This window comes from Homo sapiens, chromosome 3 (assembly GCF_000001405.40).
Source record: "Homo sapiens chromosome 3, GRCh38.p14 Primary Assembly".
In the NCBI taxonomy this organism is placed as follows: domain Eukaryota; kingdom Metazoa; phylum Chordata; class Mammalia; order Primates; family Hominidae; genus Homo; species Homo sapiens.
Window position 1 is genome coordinate 171,712,244 of NC_000003.12, and position 20,713 is coordinate 171,732,956.

Genomic DNA, 20,713 nt, shown 5'->3' on the forward strand with positions numbered 1-20,713 from the left:
TGGTGGAGCTGAGAGGAGTGAAGCATCCCCATCGCGTGTGGTGGAGACACGGGTTTCTAGGGATGGAGACGAGAGGGCACAGGAGGTGCCTGGGCTTGACCTATCCTGCAAGCACTACTCCAATTGAGCTAAAAAGCCTCGGAAAAACAGTTATGAGAAGACTTTACAGAAGAGATGAGTAACAAGATAAGACATTATCACAGGATGTGAGTCAGTATCAAGGGGGAAAACAAGAACTATTCCAAACATGGACATAAGAAAAGCAAAGGGAAAGAGGCAAGAAAAAAATGCTGCCTTCATAGAACCTGCAAGGCGTATTAGGGAGGAATTTCAAATAAAGGCAGGAAAATAAATGCCCTTCAAAAATAAGTGGGGGAATTTGGCCTTATTTGATAAAATCATGGGGGGGATCTTACACCAGGAAGGAAGGTAATGAAACCTGGATGTGAATGGCCTCATTTGGCAATGACATACGGGTAAGTGAGGGTGGGAAATGCAGATGAAGTGGCCAATAAAGTAAGGGACCAGTGAGAACTGTGGCCAGACTTCTGTGGCTCACTGTAAAACAGGAATGCAGGAGGAAGGTGTAATGGCAGCACCATTATATTTCCAGTCACAATCTTAAATGTTCCATTCTCATAGAATATCATCAGGAAGGTCAGCATCTTTTTATACACACACACACATACACACACAAACATGTAAATCAGTAAGGGAATATGAAGCTATGTTGGTAACTATGTGCACAGGGAGAAATGCATATATATTCATATACATGATGGTGAATGAACTATACAGAGACAAATGGATATATATGTATAAAGACACACATACATGGTATAACTACAATCTTCCAGAAAGATCACATACACATGTACTCACTAATAAAATCTATAATAAATGTACATGAGTGTCCTTTCAAGATATCTTTCTTGGCCAGGCGGAGTGGCTCAGGCCTGTTATCCCAGCACTGTGGAAGGCCGAGGCAGACAGATCACTTGAGGTCAGGAGTTCGAGACCAGCCTGGCAAACATGGTGAAACCCCGTCTCTATCAAAAAATACAAACTTTAGTCGGGGGTGGTGGCAGGCGCCTGTAGTCCCAGCTACTCAGGAGGCTGAAGTGGGAGAATCGCTTGAACCTGAAAGATAGAGTTTCAGTGAGTGAAGGTTGCAGTGAGCAGAGATTGCACCACTGCACTCCAGTCTGGGTGACAGAGTGAGAGCCTGTCTCAGAGAAAAAGAAGATATCTTTCTTAAAATATGTGTGTAACAATTTTTATAAAACAAATCACTCTTTTGGTGTTTTGTTAATTAAAGAATATTGATTTATAAAGTAAAAGTTTCATTTATTTTAAAAATGTGAACTATTGCTCTAATCTATCTGTTTAGTAAACTGGCAAATTGAGTAGTAATTTCTGTTAACATAGGCAAACATCTACATATGGGATTGTTTATTCAGACTGTTGCACACAGGATACTCTTTAAAATATATACAAGGAAAAAAGTGGTTTCATTACTATTGATTGAGGATGAGCTCTAAATTACAATTTTCTAACACTTTTTAAACTCCTTTTTTACTTAAGGTTGAGAAAAAAATGTTTTTAAGGCATTTTTGTAGAAATCTTTTTTAAATATTTGAAATGTGTACCTTGAAAGATTATCAATTCGGATTCCATATTTCGTTTCTGTCTCCTTCTTCCCCACCTTAATTTTGAATTCTTTGTCTACCAGCAGGACGAAGGCAATGGCACCGCTGTCTGGTTTCATATACAATAAAAAGGAATCTTTCACTATTAACCATCTGTAAGAAGGTAGTAAGTATTTTTAAAAGTTGCATTGAGTAAATAAAACGAGAAGAACTAATCATTATGACAAGTCTTAAGTAATCACTCTGGCAGACTGTAGACATAATTACATTTTCTACACAGGAGATTTATTTTTTTTAATCGCTATGAAACAAACAAAAAAAACCCAACAAAACCTTTCTATTACGTTTTTCTAAGAAACAGTGTACCAAGTAATTCACAGTAATTCATTAGCTCTTTAAACACTAATGGCAAAACTGGAGGAATGTCCCTAATATTGGCAGGTAGCACTCACAGGATGTACGACAGGAAGGGCAAGACTGAGGAGATGGGATCCATTTACAGTGAATGCAAATGGTAACTTCATCAGGCTGCATATAACAACATGTATTCCTATTTGCCTGCAATTGTAGAGTGATAGACTGAATCATTTGAAAACTGAGAAGTAACAAAGTGGGCATAATAGTGCATACCAGACAAAGTAAAGCACTCTAGGCACTTCCACATTATGGAATAGTAAGGTTGGAACATCTGAATATAAACTAAGTAATACTGTAAATATAGCATGGGAACTCAGTATTTAAAATATATCTATAATAAATCTTTACTGAAATTGGGAATTGCATTATGTTTTAATGGCTTTATAACTTGGAATTTAATGTAGACAGACCTACATTGATTTCCACATAGTTTCATTTCATTAATTTTTTTTTAATACATAAGTTATCTCCTTCCTAATAAAAGGGCATAGAGTGGATTTAGGATAACTTATAGCAAAGAACATATGTGGTATGGTTCAGAAAAGGAAAAACGTCAAGGTCACAGAAAGTAAATACCTAAAATACCTAACCACAAAGGTAAATATAATTACAGAGATGACACACTCATGTGGGTGTAAGCTTCCTAGTTTTTCTTGTCAAATGAATAAATTAAAGAAATAAGTGGATTTCCTCCAAAACTAAATTCCAAACAAAGTTTCTCATTTGGGACCTAACATGATACAACTGAACAACATAATGAATAATATTCCCAATAACAATTTTCAAAGCAAACACAGAAATTATACATTTTATAAGAGTTCTTATAACACTCCTCAATACGAATACCAAGGCTATGATATCAAAGGGTAACCCCGTTTTCCCAGCACTGTTTACTGAAGAGTGTGCACTTTCCCCAAAGAATGTTCTTGATGCCCTCGGAAAAATCAGTAGGCTGTAGATACATGGATTAATATCTGAGTTCTCTATTCTGTTCTACTGGTCATGTGTCTGTTTTTATACCAATACCATACTGTTTTGGTTACTATAGCTTTGTAATATATTTTGAAGTCAGGTAGTGTAATGCCTCTAGCTTTGGTTTGTTTTTTGTTTTTGTTTTTTGCTCAGGATTGCTTTGGCTGTTCAGGGTCTTTTGTTGTTTTATGTGAATTTTAGGATTGTTTTTTCTATTTCTGTGAAAATGTCATTAGTATTTTGATAGGGTTGCACTGAATCTGTAGATTGCTTTGGATAGTATGGTCATTTTAACAGTATTAATTCTTCTGATCCTCTTCAGTTTTTTTTTCATCTGTGTCTTGTAGTTGTTCTTTTTACTAGTCATTAGATATCAAGGTAATTTGATGCTGGGCTTTTATTGAAAGCTCTTCTTTATTATGCCATTCATAAAAACTCCTCTGATTTCTTCCCTTTTTCTTTTTTGTCAATAGATATATTTTTTTCTTTTAACTTTTACTTTGGGTTCAGAGGTACACATACAGGTTTGTTACATAGGGAAACTTGTGTCACAGGGGTTTGGTGTACAGATTGCTTTGTCACCCAGGTACTAAGCATAGTACCTGACAGGCATTTTTTTCTGATCCTTTCCCTCCTCCCACCCCCCACCCTCAAGTAGGCCCTAGTATCTGTTGTTGCCGTCTTTGTGTCCATGAGTTCTCGTTATTTAGCTCCCAGTTATAAGTGAGAACAGGTGGTATTGGGTTTCCTGTTCCTGTGTTAGTTTGCTAAGGACAATGGCCTCCAGCTCCATCCATGTTGCTGCAAAGTACATGATTTCATATGCTGTGGTGTACATGTACTATCCAGTCTACTACAGATGGGTATTTAGGTTGATTCCATGTCTTTGCTATTGTAAATTGTGCTGCAGTGAAAATACACATGCACTGAGTCTTTACAGTAGAATGGTTATAGTCCTCTGGGTATATATCCAATAATGGAATTGCTGGGTTAAATGGTAATACTGTTCTTAGTTCTTTGGGGAATCATCACACTGCTTTCCACAATGGCTGAACTAATTTACGCTCCAACCAGCAGCATATAAGCATTTCCTTTTCTCTGAAACCTCGTCAGCATCTGTTTATTTGTTTGTTTGTTTTTTAATAGCCATTCTGGCTGGTGTGAGATGATATCTCATTGTGGTTTTGATTTGCATTTCTCTAATGATCAGTGATGTTAAGCATTTTTTCAAATGTTTCTTGGCCATATGTATGTCTTCTTTTGAAAAGTGTCTGTTCATGTCCTTTGCCCACTTTTTAATGGAATTTTTTGTTTTTTTGCTTGTAAATTTGTTTAAATTCCTTATAGATACTGGCTATTAGGTCTTTGTCAGAAGCACAGCTTGCAAATATTTTCTCCCATTCTGTAGGTTGTCTGTCTACTCTGTTGATAGTTTCTTTTGCTGTGCAGAAGCTCTTTAGTTTAATTAGATTCCATTCGCCAATTTTTGATTTTGTTGCAATTACTTTTGGTGTCTTCATCATTAAATATTTGCCCGTTCCAATGTCCAGAATGGTATTTCCTAGGTTGTCTTCCAGGGTTTTTATAGTTTTAGGTTTTACATTTAAGTTTCTAAGGGGTCCAGTTTCAATCTTCTGCACATGGCTAGCCAGTTATCCCAGCATCATTTATTAAGGAGGAAGTCCTTTTCCCATTGCTTGTTTTTGTCAGCTTTGTTGAAGATCAGATGGTTGTAGGTGTGCAGTATTATTTCTGGGCTCTATAATTCTGTTCCATTGGTCTATGTGTCTGTTTTCGTACCAGTACTGTACTGTATTGGTTACTGTTGCCCTGTAGTGTAGTTTGGAGTCACGTAACATGATGTCTCCAGCTTTGTTCTTTTTGCTTGGCATTGCCTTGGCTATTCAGGCTCTTTGTTGGTTCCATTTGAATTTTAAAATAGTTTTTTCTAGTTTTGTGAAGAATGTTATTGGTAGTTTGGTGGGAATAGCATTGAATCTGTAGATTGCTTTAGGCAGTATGGCCATTTTAATGATATTGTTTCTTCCTATCCATGAACATGGAATATTTTCCATTTGTTTGTGTCACCTCTCATTTCTTTGAGCAGTATTTTGTAATTCTCATTGTAGAGATCTTTCACCTCCCTAGTCAGCTGAATTCCTAGGTATTTTATTCTTTTTGTGGAAATTGTGAATGGGGTTGCCTCCCTGATTTGACTGGAAAGCAATTCCATTCACAATTGGCTTGATTGTTGTTGGTGTATAGAAATGCTAGTGATTTTTCTACATTGATTTTGTATCCTGAAACATTGCTGAAGATGTATATCAGCTCAAGGAGTTTTTGGGCAAAGACTGTGGAGTTTTCTAGATATAGAATCATGTCATCTGCAAATAGGAATAGTTTGACTTCCTCTTTTGCTATTTGGATGCCTTTTATTTCTTTCTCTTGCCTCATTGCTCTGGCCAGGACTTCCAATACTATGTTGAATAGGAGTGGTGAGAGAGGGCATCCTTGTCTTGGGCCAGTTTTCAAGGGGAATACTTCCAGCTCTTGTCCAGTCAGTATGATGTTGGCTGTGGGTTTGTCATAGATGGCTCTTATTATTTTGGAGTATGTTCCTTCAATGTGTAGTTTATTGAGGGTTGTTAAAATGAAGGATGTTGAATTCTATCAAAAGTCTTTCCTGCATCTATTGAGATAATCAGGTAGTTTTTATCTTTAGTTCTGTTTATGTGATGAATCACATTTATCAATTTGCATATGTTGAACCATATAGAGAAGATTCAAAACCAAACAGAGAAGATTCAAATAAACACAATTAGAAATGACAAAGAGGACATTACCATTGATCCCACAGAAATACAAGTAACTGTCAGAGACTACTATGAACAACTCTATGCACATAAACTAGAAAATCTACAAGAAACAGATAAATTCCCAGACACATACATCCCCCTCAAGACTGAACCAGGAAGAGACTGAATCCTTAAGTGGACCAATAATCAGCTCTGAATTAGAATCAGTAATAAATAGCCTACCAACCAAAATACAAAAACAAAGACAAAAAGCCCAGGACCAGGCGGATTCACACTCAAATTCTATAAGACGTACAAAGAAGAGCTAGTACCGTTCCTACTGAAACTACTCTAAACAATTGAGGAGGAAGAACTACTACCCGACTCATTCTATGAGGCCAGCATCATCCTAACACCAAAACCTGGCAGAGACACAACAAAAAGAGGAGACTTCAGGCCAATATCCTTTATGAACATAGATGCAGAGCATCTCAACAAGATTTTGCTTTCTTTCTCAGGAATATATAAATCAAGTAAGGCATCTATCAACCAGCCTTCTAGGAGTCAGCACCATCTGCACAGGGATCAAGTGCCTGCCCTGAAGTCAGCCTCCCTGGGCTCCAATTCCACCTGCCACTCACTGCTTGTAAGAACTTCAGTAATTGAGCATGATGTCAAAATCTATAACATGAGGATAACATAAGACATATAACATGAGGACCTAACAGCAACATCTAGTTCATAAGTATTCATAAAGAATTAACTGAGATAACTCATGCACATGCTTAGCACAGTGCCTGGCCCCAATACATGCGAACTATTATAACTAATCTTGTTCTAAACCATGTGAGATTACCGTCTGTTTTAAAAAGATACCTCCTGCCTGTGTTACTACTTGCCATGGCATTCAAATGCAGATAAGCCCACTTGAGCCAGCCCTCCCCTTCTCAGCCTCATCTACTATTGTCTCTCACAATGTTAGTCAATGTTGGTTCTTCTTTAGACTTGCCAGTCTTCTTCTTTGGGCTCTATCGTTGCTGTTCCTCTGCGTAAAAACTGTTTCTTCTAGGCAATTCCATGGATGGTCTCTTCTTGTCAATCAAACCTCTCCTTAAAAATCCCTCTACAAGCAGGCTACTGGATTCAAAAAAAAGCTGTTCTCCACCATCCCTGCCTCATCACCCCCAACTCTCCTCCATCATGTTGTCTTGATTTAGCTTCTTTGTAGCACATCTGGAAGTATTTGTCTTCTTGTTTATTGTCTGTCTCCTACAGTACAGCGTAAGGTCCCTGGGAACAGGAAATGTGGCTGTCATGTCTACTACTATCTGTTCAATGCCTAGAACTATCTTCTAGCAGCCCAGAGCAAGCTTTCAGGCAAGGCCACCATCTCGCCTAAATAATGGCTGCATGAATGGATTCCAGAGAGTAAATAAAACCATTTAGACACTATCACTGTCTAAAAATTTTAATTATTGGCACAGCTCATAGTTCACTAAAGTAAACACTAAGTAAGAAAGTGCTAAGGAATTAAAAGTAATGGCAAAAACCACAATTACTTTTGTACCACCCTAATAAATGCTAAATTTATTTGTTAACGTCTATACATCTCTTTTTCTTAAGACATTATTTGACATAAGAAACTTAACTTACGACCAGGTGCAGAGAAGTTTCTCAATAAATGTGCTGTTTAAGCAGATGTTTTAGATTGTAGGATCTCTGTTTGTCTTTTTTTAAAACTCATCTCTCAGATAAGGTCATTATGAGACCTAACTGAAAATTCAATTTCCTTGTTTGCCTTACTACAATTTGTCAACGTAGAATAAATTAACAAGTGATCAGAATGTATTTTTATGGGTACAAATGAAAAAAAGTTATGAAGGAGTGTCATCTTTAAAAGTAAGTCTCATTTAGACATTAATAAAATAGTCGTCTTGGCCAGGTGCTGTGCCTCCCGCCTGTAATCCCAGCACTTTGGAAGGCCAAGGTGGGCAGATCACTTGAGCTCAGGAGTTCAAGACCAGCCTGGGCAATATGGTAAAACCCCATCTTTACAAAAAATACAAAATTTATCCAGGTGCGGTGGTATGCACCTGTATCCCTGCTATCTAGGGGGCTGAGGTGGGAGGATCGCTTGAGCTCAGGAGGTCGAGGCTGCAGTGAGCCGAGATCATACCACTGCACTCCAGCCTTGGTGACAAGGTGAGACCCTGTCTCAAAAAAAAAAAAAAAAAAAAGGCCGGGCGCGGTGGCTCACGCTTGTAATCCCAACACTTTGGGAGCCGAGGCGGGCGGATCACGAGGTTAGGAGATTGAGACCACAGTGAAACCCCGTCTCTACTAAAAATACAAAAAATTAGCCGGGCGTCATGCCGGGCGCCTGTAGTCCCAGCTACTCGGAGAGCCTGAGGCAGGAGAACGGCATGAATCTGGGAGGCGGAGCTTGCAGTGAGCGGAGATCAGGCCGCTGCACTCCAGCCTAGGCGACAGAGCAAGACTCCGTCTCAAAAAAAAAAAAAAGTCTTCCACTGTGAGAAACTTTCTAAATTATATGTTATCATCTATATATGCTTTCTGGTATTTTAAATCCCAAAAATGTGACTCAGGAAATATTTATTAATATGGAACCAGGGCTTTAATCTTCACAGAATGATTTACACAATTTACAGTGATGACACATTTCATTCCAGGGAGGATCGTATCTTTTTAGATTGTCCCAGTTGACTTATGATTTAATCCAAAGTTTAAAAAGAGGGGGCATATTTATTTTGTGTAACAAAGCCTTTCCCTCACCTTTCCTAGCTGTTGCTTCTCATAAGGGTTAAATCCAAACGTCAGTTTTTCAGGGAGCCTTTCCTTGACTCCCAGAGCTAAAGTCACCCTCTGCAATCCCCAGATCCCTCACAAACCATTTTTCCCCTTTAAAGCTCTCATCGCTACCTGAATTTATACAATTTACATTAATTGTCGGCTTAGTGCCTGCATTTCCCCTCTAACAGAACTCCATGAGGGCAGAGACTTCATCTTGTTCACTACTGTTTTCACAGGAGTATGCCACCATCTGGCATACATTAGGCACTCGAAAAATGACTGAATAAACCAGACCATGGCTTCCATTCCTTGAGTAGACGCCTTAGGTTGGGTTGTCCCAGAAGTAAACTCTGAGATACGGATATACGTGTATAAAAGAGTTTAAGACAGTGGCACCAGGAAGCACCAATTAGGGAAGGATAGAAAGAAAGAGCAAGGAAGGAAGCCACAGAGAGTGTATTTTCATGCTTTTTATTGTGGGCAGCTGTGCTGTAAGCCAGCTAAGGAGTTCTGGGAGACAGTGTAGAGACTGCTGCAGAGTCACCCCAACTGAGGAGGATGGGGCTGGACTCCGATCAGTTCTTGGCTGATGGCTGCTCCTGGGAGCTGTTGACACTTCCCAGACTGCTGTGCACACAGACAGGTGGGTTCTGACAGCCTACAGAATTTTTGGTCAAAGAATCACAAATGCTTAAGGTTACAGTCTGAAAACTGTGGTTGGCATGTAGCAGCTGATTTGGGCAAAGTTAACGACTAGGGAGGAGTGGTCAGAAGGAATCCCCAAGTTTCTAAAAGTTAGAGAAGTGTATTTGAAGGCAAATACTTTTTTTAGTATATTATTTCCCTTCTTATTTTAGTAAAACTTCTCTCCCAGCGACAGATCAAGACTCCATCTCAGAAAAAAAAAAAGAAAAAAAACTTTTTTCCCTTACAAAAATTTTCAGTTTTCTTTAGTTTAATCTTCTGATCTTTTCCTTGTAATTTCTTCTGTCCCTTCAAATCCCAGAAAGTAAAGGCCCAGCTTAATGGTATTTTTTTGTTGGTAGTATATCTTAAATCGGTGTGTGTAAAGGTGGATGCCAGTATTAATTTTATATATTTTGAATATACACATAGCTCAATTCCACATTTAAACATAAACACATTTATCATTTTCAATTTGGGGGAAATATTATATACAGATATAAAATATTTATAATTGATTTCTTCAGTGTTTTAATAGTTTTTCAAAATCCCAGTACATTGTTATTGCAACAGTTACTGTCTATTATGTGCCAAACTTGGGGGATACAGATAAGAATCAGATGAGAATATTGTTCCTCAAGGAGTTTTTAGTTGGTAAGACGTAAGATATAAAATAATGTTTTCTGTCTATATTACGCTTACCATGATAAACATTTTTCAGAAATATAAGTGTAAAATTATCATCCCTGAAGTCTGCACAATTTTACTTAAGTTTTTGTTAAAGTGTACAGTTCAGTTTGATTTTTGGTATATTCACAAAGTTGTATAACCATCACCACTATCTAGTTCCAAAATATCTTCATTGGCCCAAAAATAAACCCCATACCAGTATCAAATTAGTAGAAAGCAACCTCCTTCCCATTCCCTGGAAACCCTTTATCTACTTCCGTCTCTACAGATTTGTCTATTCTGAAAATTTCTTATAAATAAGAATGATAAAACATGTGCCTTTTTGTATCTGGATGTTTTCATTTATCCTGTTTTCAAGGTTCATCCACATTGTAGCATGTATCAGAACTTCATATCCTTTTCCATTTAATTTTTAGATTTTTATTCAGATGTAATTCACATATCATAAAACGTACCTTTTAAAAGTTCACAATGCGATGGTTTTTAGCATATTGACAGAGTTGTGCAACCGGCACTACCGTCTTATTTCAGAATATTTTCATCACCCCATAAAGAAACTCCATGACCATGAATGGTCTTCATTTCTCTTTTTTTAATGTATTTTTAATTTCTGTGGGTACATAGTAGGTTTATATATTTATGGGGTATATGAGATACTTTGATACAAGCATATAATGTGTAATAATAACATCAGGATAAATGGGGTATCCATCACCTCAAGCATTATCCTTTATGTTACAAACAACTCATACTCTTTTATAGTTATTGTAAAACATACAATTAAATTAGTATTGACTATAGTCACCTGTTGTGCTATCAAATACTAGATCTTAATTATCCTATTTGTTTGTATCCATTAACCATCCCCACTATCCCCCTCCACACTGCCTTTCCCAGCCTCTGATAAAATCTCCATGAGTTCAGTTGTTTTAATTTTTAGCTCCTACTAGTAACTGAGAACATGTGAAGATTGTCTTTCTGTGCCTGGCTTATTTAACTAAACATAATGACCTCTAGATCCATCCATGTTGCAATGACGGGATCTCATTCTTTTCTATGGCTGGATAGTACCCCATCATGTGTATGTACATTTTCTTTATCCATTCATCTGTTGATGAACACCTGGGTTGCTTCCAAATCTTGGCTATTGTGAATAGTGCTTCAACACAGATGGAAGTGCAGATATATCTTTGATATACTGATTTCCTTCTTTTGGGTATATACCTAGACGTGGAACTGCTAGATCATATGGTAGCTCTATTTTGAGTTTTTTGAGGAACCTCCAAACTGTTCTCCGTAGTCGTCGTACTAATTTACATTCCCATCAACAGTGTATGAGGGTTCCCTTTTCTCCACATCCTCACCAGTATGTTATTGCCTGTCTTTTTGATAAAAGCCATTTTAACTGGGGTGAGATGATATCTCATTGTAGTTTTCATTTGCATTTCTCTGATGATCAATGATATTGAGCACCTTTTCATACACCTGTTTGCCATTGGTATGTTTTCTTTCAAGAAACGTATATTCAGATCTTTTGTCCATTTTTAAATCAGATTATTAGATTTTTTTCCTATAGAGTTCTTTCTGGTTGTTAATCCCTTATCAGATAGGTAGTTTGTAGGTATTTTCTCCCATTCTGTGGTTTATCTCTTCACTTTGTTGACTGTTTCCTTTGCTGTGCAGAAGCTTTTTAACTTGATGTGATTTATTCCTTTTATGGCTGGATAATATTCCACTCTATAGGAATACCACATTTTGTTTATCCATTCATCAATTGATGAACATTAGAATTGTTTCCACTTGTAAGGCTATTATCCATAATACTGCTATTATAATACTGCTATAGAAAAGTTCTATTGTAGACATATTTTTTCAGTTCTCCTAGGTGAATCCCTGGAATTGCTGGGACATGTGGTAACTATGTTTAACAGTTTAAAGAACTGCCAGACTGTTTTCCAAAGTGGCTGCACCATTTTACATTTCCATTAACAATATCTGCGGTTTCTCTACAGAAAATATTCTAGTTTCTCTACACCCTCACCACCATTTGTTATTGTCCATCTCTTTGATTATAGCCATCCTTATGGGTGTGAAATTGTATCTCATTGTGGATTTGACTTACATTTCCATAATGACTAATAACGTTGAGCATCTTTTCGTATACTTATTGGCCATTTGTACGTCTTCTTTGGCTGGCCAATTTGTGCGTTCTTTGTCCTTGGGTTTTCATGAATATAATCTGTACACTTTGCCTACAAGTTCAGCTTTGGGTAGAATATTTAAATGGATGCTGGAATTTGGATTTTAAAATATAATTAAAAATTTGTTCTGCCATTGCTTTTAAAGGATTTATAATTTAAAACTGGTATGTAAAACTAGCCCAAATACCCAGTGTATTAAAACAAACAAATACACAAAACTCACTAATTCCTACCTTTTTGACCATCTGTAGCAGGCTCTTCCCTGACCACAGCAATTCAAGCCTGGTATTCTGTGTCCTCCAGATCTTTTCATTATCATACCTTCTCTGAAAGAGACAGAAAATTAACCCATCACCTTCAAATTTCCCACTCCCACTTAGCTCGTACAGCCTCCCAACATGGGACTAAATAAACCATCTCATTCTCACATGACTTTCCTCCCTACTCTCTCCTCCTCGCTCTCAACTAGCTCAGTGCCCTGTTAGGCCGGGTACCCTAGAGGCGAACCCTAAAATACACTGGTGAGATATAGCCCCTTCAGCATTCGGGGCAGTGTGATTCTGTTGTGCACTACACAGGACCTTAAGCATCCTGTCTCCTGGCTCTAAATGTTGAGTGTTCCCGTTAACTCGTCATTAATGGGTGCAGCACACCAACATGGCACATGTATACATATGTAACAAACCCGCACGTTGTGCACATGTACCCTAGAACTTAAAGTATAATAAATATATATAAATATAAAAAAATGTTGAGTGTTCCCTCCTCAACATTGTGACACTGTGACAAACTAAAAAAGACTCCATGCATTTCCACATGCCTGCACAGGGATGGTCCACCTGCTGTTGAGACCATGGTGCATCTCACCCACAGATTCCAGGACATCTCTGTGTCTCTTCACACCCAGTTCTAGCAAACTAGTTGAGCTAGTTGAGCCATGCCAAAGGAAGCAGAGCACAGCTACTAGTTTTGAAAACAGTATATCTTAATTCTGAAAAATTTGACAAGAAAAAGCAATAACAAAGGCTAAACTTTAAAAAAAACTTTTTTTGAAACAACTACTAACAATGCTCTTAACTAGAACTTGAAAGTTAAGCTCTTTATGTTTTCAAGCTCTAATATTGTGAAGGAAAATTATAAACTTTCATCTGGCTATAAAACATATTTTACATAGTATTATTTTAAAATAATCATCAAAATGAGTAGTAAACATTTAACTTTATAAGGGATTGTAAAAGGAGATCTTATATATTTGATTTTTAATGTATTCTCCTACACATCAGACTTGCTATAGGTATTGAACACTTCCACTGTTGGGTTAGAAAGAATCTGTGCTGTAAGCACGTGACAAAGACAGTGGAGCAGTTGCTACCGTTGTTTATCACAGGAGATGCTCTGATTTGTATGAATAATTCCATCAGTTGCTCTAACTACTGGGGAGAAGAGAAGCTAGCAGTAAAGCCAGGAGGACTCCATCACCATGGCATGCTGCTACGTTAAGTGTGAATGCAAATCAATTTTTCATACTTCTCTTTTAAGGTTTATTGCAACTTACATGCCCTTTGGTCCCAAATCATGGATGAAAGACAGCTGGCTTATATCAAGAAACTCTGTCTGAAAAGAAGCAAAAAATCCATCTTTAGCAAGCAAAACAATTCAAATTTATGCATTAAAAAACATGTATTAGGTATAGCTGTGTGTATATACTGTTTGGTGTGCTCCACAGACTACACAGATCAATAATAATGGCATTGCACTAAAAGAGTGCAGATTAGGAGTATATAAACAATGAAGACACATCCTACTAGATCTTCTAAATCTGAAGAGAGAGATGTGTGCCTTAATACATAGAGATAAAATGCTCAAGAAGCTTGGAGAGAGAGAGAGAGAGAGTTTATTCTCAATATTCTTTCATGTTTGTTTTTGTTGCACGGGATGGATATTGTGTGGCACAGTGTACACTCAAACAATAAAAGAATGTGAGAAGCAAGTGATATTGGTGCAGGATCTGGAAGATGGACTGGATTTGGGCCCACAGTGTGAAATGGGAGATGAATGGGGGGCTAGAACAGAAGGTCAAAAAGGTTATAGGATGTACAGTTGGGTTACAGTGAATAAGATGAAGGAAAAGAATAAAAAATTAAACAGGCTGAAAAGAGAATGGGGAGGGCTTTGAACATCAGGCATAATGAAAAGAATTATTTTTAATGAGTTGAAGAGGAAGAGAATTTTAGGCCCACCTTCACTGTATTAGAAGGTTAAAAACTGTAAATATTATAACAACAACTGTGGCTGTGTTTACTGAGTGCTAACTATGAGTTGGTGTTATGCTAACCATTTTTCATGCATTATCTCAAACCCCTTTGAAGCAGGTGCTACTTTTCCCATTGTACAGAAGACGAAACTGAGGTTTAGTGTAAGGGTAAGCAAATATTTTCTGCAAAGAGCCAGACAGTAAATATTTTGGGCTTTGTGGGCATACATTCCATTTTGCATCTACTTCGCTCTGCTGTTGTAGCACGGAAATAGCCATAGACGCATACATAAACGAATAACTGTGGCTGTGTTCCAATAAAACCTTATTTATGGATATAAAATATGAAGATAATCTAATTTTATGTGTCACAAAATATTATTCTTTTGATTTTTTTTCAACCACTTAAAAATATAAAAACTATTCTTAGTTCACAGAACATACAAAAACAGGCAATGGGCAATGGGCAGGATTTGGTCCACGGGCCCTAGTTTGCAGGCCTCTGTTTTAGAGAAGTCAAGTAAGTTGTCCAAGATCACATAGTTAAGAAGGGATTAACTCAGTATGGTTAACTCATTATGAAGTCAGACCAAAGTCAGCGCCCTCAAAACCAAGCTGGAAGAGCAAAATGTCATTCAACATTTATCTAATTCAAATTGAGTTCCTTGCATATTCTAGGTAGGTGAAAGCTAGATGTAAATGTGGAGGCATAGAAGGGAAAAACAAATCAACATTACATAATGTTTAGCATATGCAGATTTGCAGATCGTTTTGAAAAGTGACCAACAATAAGATCAGTTCCTTAGGCCATGTCAATAGCAGCCTTGATAGACCAACAAAGACTAAAAAGATACTCTCCCAGCATTAGGAAGCAGACGGGAGACCAGATATGGAAAACACTACCCTCAATGAAGTTCTGTGGGATGAACCACACTAGATACATGTGAAAGTAGTTACAGAGTTATAGAATAGTGGAGGGCAACCACTTCCCAGCTGACATGACATCACAGAGGCAGGGGCATTTGATCTAGGTTTGTAAATGGGATTAGTAAAACAAAAGTTTTCCATGTAAGTTTTATATGTGATTGGACATATCTAACACTACTCTTGTAAAAAAAAATTACAAATATCTCAAGGCGTCCATCCTTGTAAGGTTCATTTAAATGCTTGCATTTTTCTCTTTTCTTGGGGTTATTTGCAGAAAATAGGTCTTTAAAATTCAAAAGGACTTAAATATCTTTTTAAAATCCTAAGTCAAAGGTATCTTCATACAGCATTTTTTAAATTGAGAATTTAAAAAGTCAAGGTCTCAGTCAGGCATAGTGGCTCACGCCTGTAATCCCAGCATTTTGGAAGGCTGAGGTGGGTGGATCACTTGAGGTCAAGAGTTCAAGACCAGCCTGGCCAACATGGCAAAACCCCATCTCTACTAAAAATACAAAAATTAGCCAGGTGTGGTGGTGCATGCCCGTAATCCCAGCTACTCAGGAGGCAGAGGCTGAGGCAGGAGAATCACTTGAACCCGGGAGGCAGAGGTTGCAGTGAGCGGAGATCGTGCCCCTGCACTCCAGCCTGGGCAACACAGCAGGACTGTCTCAAAAACAAACAAACAAACAAAAAACACCTCAAGGTCTTTACATTTCATTTCTTATATAAAACAGTGATTCAGTATCATGCATTTTTATCTGGTTTGTGAAAATGCTTCTTAATTGGAAAAGGTAATCCTATGGGTTATTGGAAATGATTCACAGATTGCCAGCCATAAAATCCAAAATATTTTAAAATCCTGAGTCATAACTTTTATCTCTGGAGAGCAGACAAATAATGTCAGTCCTAGTTTACATTTGAAGACTATAGTCTACTACAGAGGCATAACTAACTTATGCAAAGTCCCAGAACAACCGAAGGGAAGAATAGGAAATGAAAACAAAAATCAAGGAAGCCACTAATCTAATGCCTGGATATTTTCTTATTTACATAGCTGTTATCATCAAATAGTTGACAACAGAAATATTCTCTGAAATCATTCAGAAATCATAACTTTTGGAGTATATCATAACAAAATTGCTAAGCGTAAAGAATCTCAGCTAAGTAGACACATTAATAATGTAGAAAATTGAAAGTTACACATTAATATGAAATTTAATTTATCCTAATGGCTTAGTAAAGTTTGACTGGAGAGAGATTTCCAGAAGGAACCAGGCCTATTATACAGAAAAAAAAATCTGGCAATAAACGTTTTTCTAATACAGAGTTATCAAATTGAAAGTAAATGTGTCAGGGTCAACTGAGAGGCAAACCTAACTAATAAAAATTGAAATTTAACAAAGATGATGTTGTCCAAACTTCTTAGTACATCTTCAGTGATAAGAATTCCATTATCCATTTGGGCAAGTGATTCTCAGGAATAAGAATTTAAAGATCAATTTAGCCTAACGGCATTTCGCAGGGCTTATTCCATTGATCTTTTGAGTAATGTATAATCAATACCTTTTTGTCTTTGTTTTTTTGGCAAAGGAATTTGTAAAATATGAATACAATTGAAATAATGTTGCAATGCAATAATGTTCTTGGCACTAGGTGGAAAGTGGTCTCAAGTAAAAAATTCCAACATGATCTACCAATTGGATACTAAAAACGTTAGAGAAACAGAGAAGCAAAAATATTTCCATGCCAAGAGACAAGCAACAAGCCCTAGGGGTAACAAAAAATCCTGAAAATTACTTGGCAATCACGTACACACTGCCCCTTCCACCCATCCTTGTATTGTAAGAGAAGGGTGACTTTCAGAGGCTCCTTTTATTTACCAGGTAGCAAAAACTCAAGTAAATGGCCAGGTGGGAAATTATCAGATACAAGGAAGGTAAGAGCATTGAGTTGGGCAATGTCCTTGTAGACTCAGGTACTCCAGGAAAGGCAGGGAACAAAGAGGACATCTAATCTATGAAGGAAACTGGGAGGCTGGGCAAAGGCCTAAAGTCCTTCTCAACGCTAAGACTCAATCATAAGAAAGAAAATATTTCCCTTAATTTGAAGATGCAGCTGTTCAAATTAGTATAGCTTTTCCCTGTTGGAATGAAAACACTGTGTGCACGTTTATTCTTTACCTACTCTTCCCCTCAAGTTAAAGTTCATTCTACAAAACAAGGGAGAGGTGAACTCAGTATTATTGATCTGTGGGATGTTTTACCCAAGGATTTCAAGCTAATCACCTTCTTGGGGATAAGAAATCTGAGTCACATAAGTTAAATGATTTACTTCAAGGTAGAGATACGATCCTATCACCTTAGGGCCCTTCTCTTGGAAATTGTACAATTTGTTCCATTTCTAGATTTTAATCTCAGGTATGAAAAAGGTACATTTATTGCTCCTTATTCCTCTGATTTTAATTCCCTGGAAGATAAGCATTTTCCAGTTACTAATTAAAATGCCTAGCTAGTGAGTTCTCTACTACAGCCAGCACTAATACAATTTCAGAATACAAAAGGAATTCTTGTTTGAGATTTTTTTGTATGTTATTACACAACTCAGATATTGCTATTTTTTTACATATTTATGCTTAGGGTAAAGAGGAAATACATTTGTCCCCATTTTACAAATGAGCAAAGAAAACTGAACAAATCACCAATGGTCTCTGAGGCAACTGTCTGATCATGACTACACTAAAACACTAGGATGCTCTCCTTTGCAGAACCACAAGAAGGAAAAAAAAAAAAAGAATTAAAAGCAGAGGAAGTCTTCATAATCATGGGAGAGAAGGTCTGAGCACAAACCCAACCAATGGCTGTATAAAAGTGAGAGGAAAGAACTGTCCATGTCTAATTTCAGAGGCTACTTAAGAAAAATAATGTCAGTGCTTAGAACCCTAAACCAAATTCCTTTGGGGAAAATCCTATTATACAAACACCTTTATAATAAATCTATCTCCACTTTTTTTTTTTTGGCAGAGTCTTCCTCTATAACCCAGGCTGGAGTGCAGTGGCGCAACTGTGGCTCGCTGCAACCTCCGCCTCCCGGGTTCAAGCGATTCTTCTGTCTCAGCCTCCCAAGTAGCTGGGATTAAAGGCGCCCACCACCACGCCTAGCTAATGTTTGTATTTTTAGTAGAGATGAGGTTTCACCATGTTGTCCAGGCTGGTCTCGAACTCCTGACCTCAGGTTATCCACCTGCCTTGGCCTCCCAAAATGCTGGGATTGCAGGCATGAGCCACTGCGCCCAGCCCTGTCTCCACTTTTTAAAGTGGTCTAACTTTACCAAGACATTTCTAAGCTGATCATAGCATTTTAGTTTAGTTCTCAAACTCCTGATGATAAGAATCACTTGAGCTATTTGTTAAACACACTTATTCCAAATACAGATCTGGATGGCCCTATAGAGATTAAGAACATATCCTATTCAGTCCCTTGACCTATGATCCATGATTCTATCTGCTTATGGACCTGAATTAACTTAAAATAGGTTTGTTTTATACTTATAAAAGTATAAATTTATTATATACATGTTAAAATAACTTTTAATATGCTTTTTACAGACAGTAAAGCATTTTTTAACAGATACTTTTTTAGTATTTCTCACAATTATTGAAGAAAACATGTAAATTCCAATCTCATTTCACAAATATGAGGCAGAGGTCTACAGATCTAGTCTTTAGGCCAGACTACATTTAAAGAAAAAGAATGTTAGAGAATTAATGTATATCAAATTGTATCCTATGCTTGAATCATATTGAACAATTCAGCTGTTGGAGAGAATAATCTCAGTAACCATCGAAAATGAGAGGGAGGCTGGGCACGGTGGCTCACGCCTGTAATCTCAGCACTTTGGGAGGCAGAGGCGGGCGGATCACAAGGTCAAGGGATCGAAATCATCCTGGCCAACATGGTGAAACCTCGTCTCTACTAAAAATACAAAAATTTGCTGTAATCCCACCTGTAGTCCCAGCTACTTGGGAGGCTGAGGCAGGGGAATCACTTGAACCCGGGAGGCGGCGGTTGCAGTGAGCCGAGATCATGCCACTGCACTCCAGCCTGGGAAACAGAGCAAGACTCCATCCCAAAAAAGAAAAAAAAAAGAAAATGAGAGGAGAATCTATTCACAGTCAGTTGCTAATGAGGCTTTCCCTTCCAAAGGAAATGTTTACAGGTCACTCTGGGATTTCTAAATACAACATGGCCTAACTTTGAAAATATTTTTATGACTGGAAAAGTCATTAAAAAGAACACTTTTTAAATCTAAACATTCTTTAGTCAACAGTAGAATCCCAAATGTAGAAAAGTACATGAAAAGAGAAGAATGAACTCACCAAGAATGGTTACAGCCAAAAGAAATAGTAAAAGTAAAGTCACAGGCAGGCAGAAAAGTAAAAGAAATGGAAAATTATTGCATATGGATACTAATACACATTTAAATAGTTGTCTGTTAAAGAAAATAGCATGTCGGATTTCAGACAACACAACAGGAGGTATCATTTTTATTAACAATAGTAGTAGTATCCTTATTCATTGTTATTTCAACAATACAAGTTCCTGAGTCCTAGAAGAAAAGAAACCCCTGCCTCCCATCATCCTTCTCTTGAGATCCTCTGGTGCAACCCAAATTCCTGTTTTCCTGAGAAAACCCTTCTCCAGGTTTATGAAGACATAGAAGCTCCCTCAAGTCCATTGAATGCCCCAGTGCAAGCTGCTGCTGGAGGCAGGTAGTGACCTGGATCCAGGTCACCTGTGTGTAATGGGACAGCTGGATGTATATTTGGACCAGACTCCAAACCATGTGCTGCAAGGCAGCAGGAAGGCAGCTCCTGTCATGAGAAACTCGCAGAGCCAAATGCTCTTGCATCCTCTCCAAAATACACTAAAGTCTTTACTGTTTCAGTTTATGTGTTTATGTGATGCCATTCTCTAAACTAGCGGACAAATCACAATTGCACCAACTCTAGAGTTCTGCACATATATAATATAGATGCATACAGCCCCCATAACCATACAATTCATACAAATGCATACATACATACGATAAACCATGCATTCTCAGTTATCCAGGCCTCTGAATAATTGAAGGCTAAACCTTTAAAAACACCCCACCTTTAATAGTGCAGAGCTACTTGTTTGCTGACACTAGAAAACCCACTCCCTCCCTGCTTGCCAGCTGCATACCCCAAGCTTAATCTCTGTGGCTGCATCTAAGCCCCATCGCCTCTTCTTTCTTTACTTGGATTCCTCAAGGGTTTTTTCTTTCCTAGC

The 20,713-nt window shown here is 37.7% G+C and overlaps 1 protein-coding gene across 9 annotated transcripts in view, besides 1 other annotated feature; it reads right to left on the minus strand.

Annotated features, from left to right (window-relative positions):
* The window catches only part of PLD1 (phospholipase D1), a 210,080-nt gene that overhangs the window by 111,840 nt on the left and 77,527 nt on the right, over nt 1-20,713 (minus strand). For all 9 annotated transcript variants that reach the window (XR_007095693.1, NM_001130081.3, NM_002662.5 and 6 more), the window contains exons 7-9: nt 13,775-13,833; nt 12,453-12,545; nt 1,650-1,802 (exon numbers count right to left, since the gene is read on the minus strand). Coding sequence is in view for 8 of the 9 variants with exons in the window: in NM_001130081.3 (NP_001123553.1) it covers nt 1,650-1,802; nt 12,453-12,545; nt 13,775-13,833 (305 nt within the window). In the remaining variant the exon portion in view is untranslated. The remainder of the gene's footprint in view (nt 1-1,649; nt 1,803-12,452; nt 12,546-13,774; nt 13,834-20,713) is intronic.
* Nucleotides 6,416-7,001: an enhancer, noted in NCBI's record as "OCT4-NANOG hESC enhancer chr3:171436449-171437034 (GRCh37/hg19 assembly coordinates)". NCBI's record gives its function as "activates a minimal SCP1, AML or CMV promoter by ChIP-STARR-seq in naive H9 embryonic stem cells {active_cell/tissue: H9 hESC(naive)}" and the evidence as "EXISTENCE:reporter gene assay evidence [ECO:0000049][PMID:30033119]".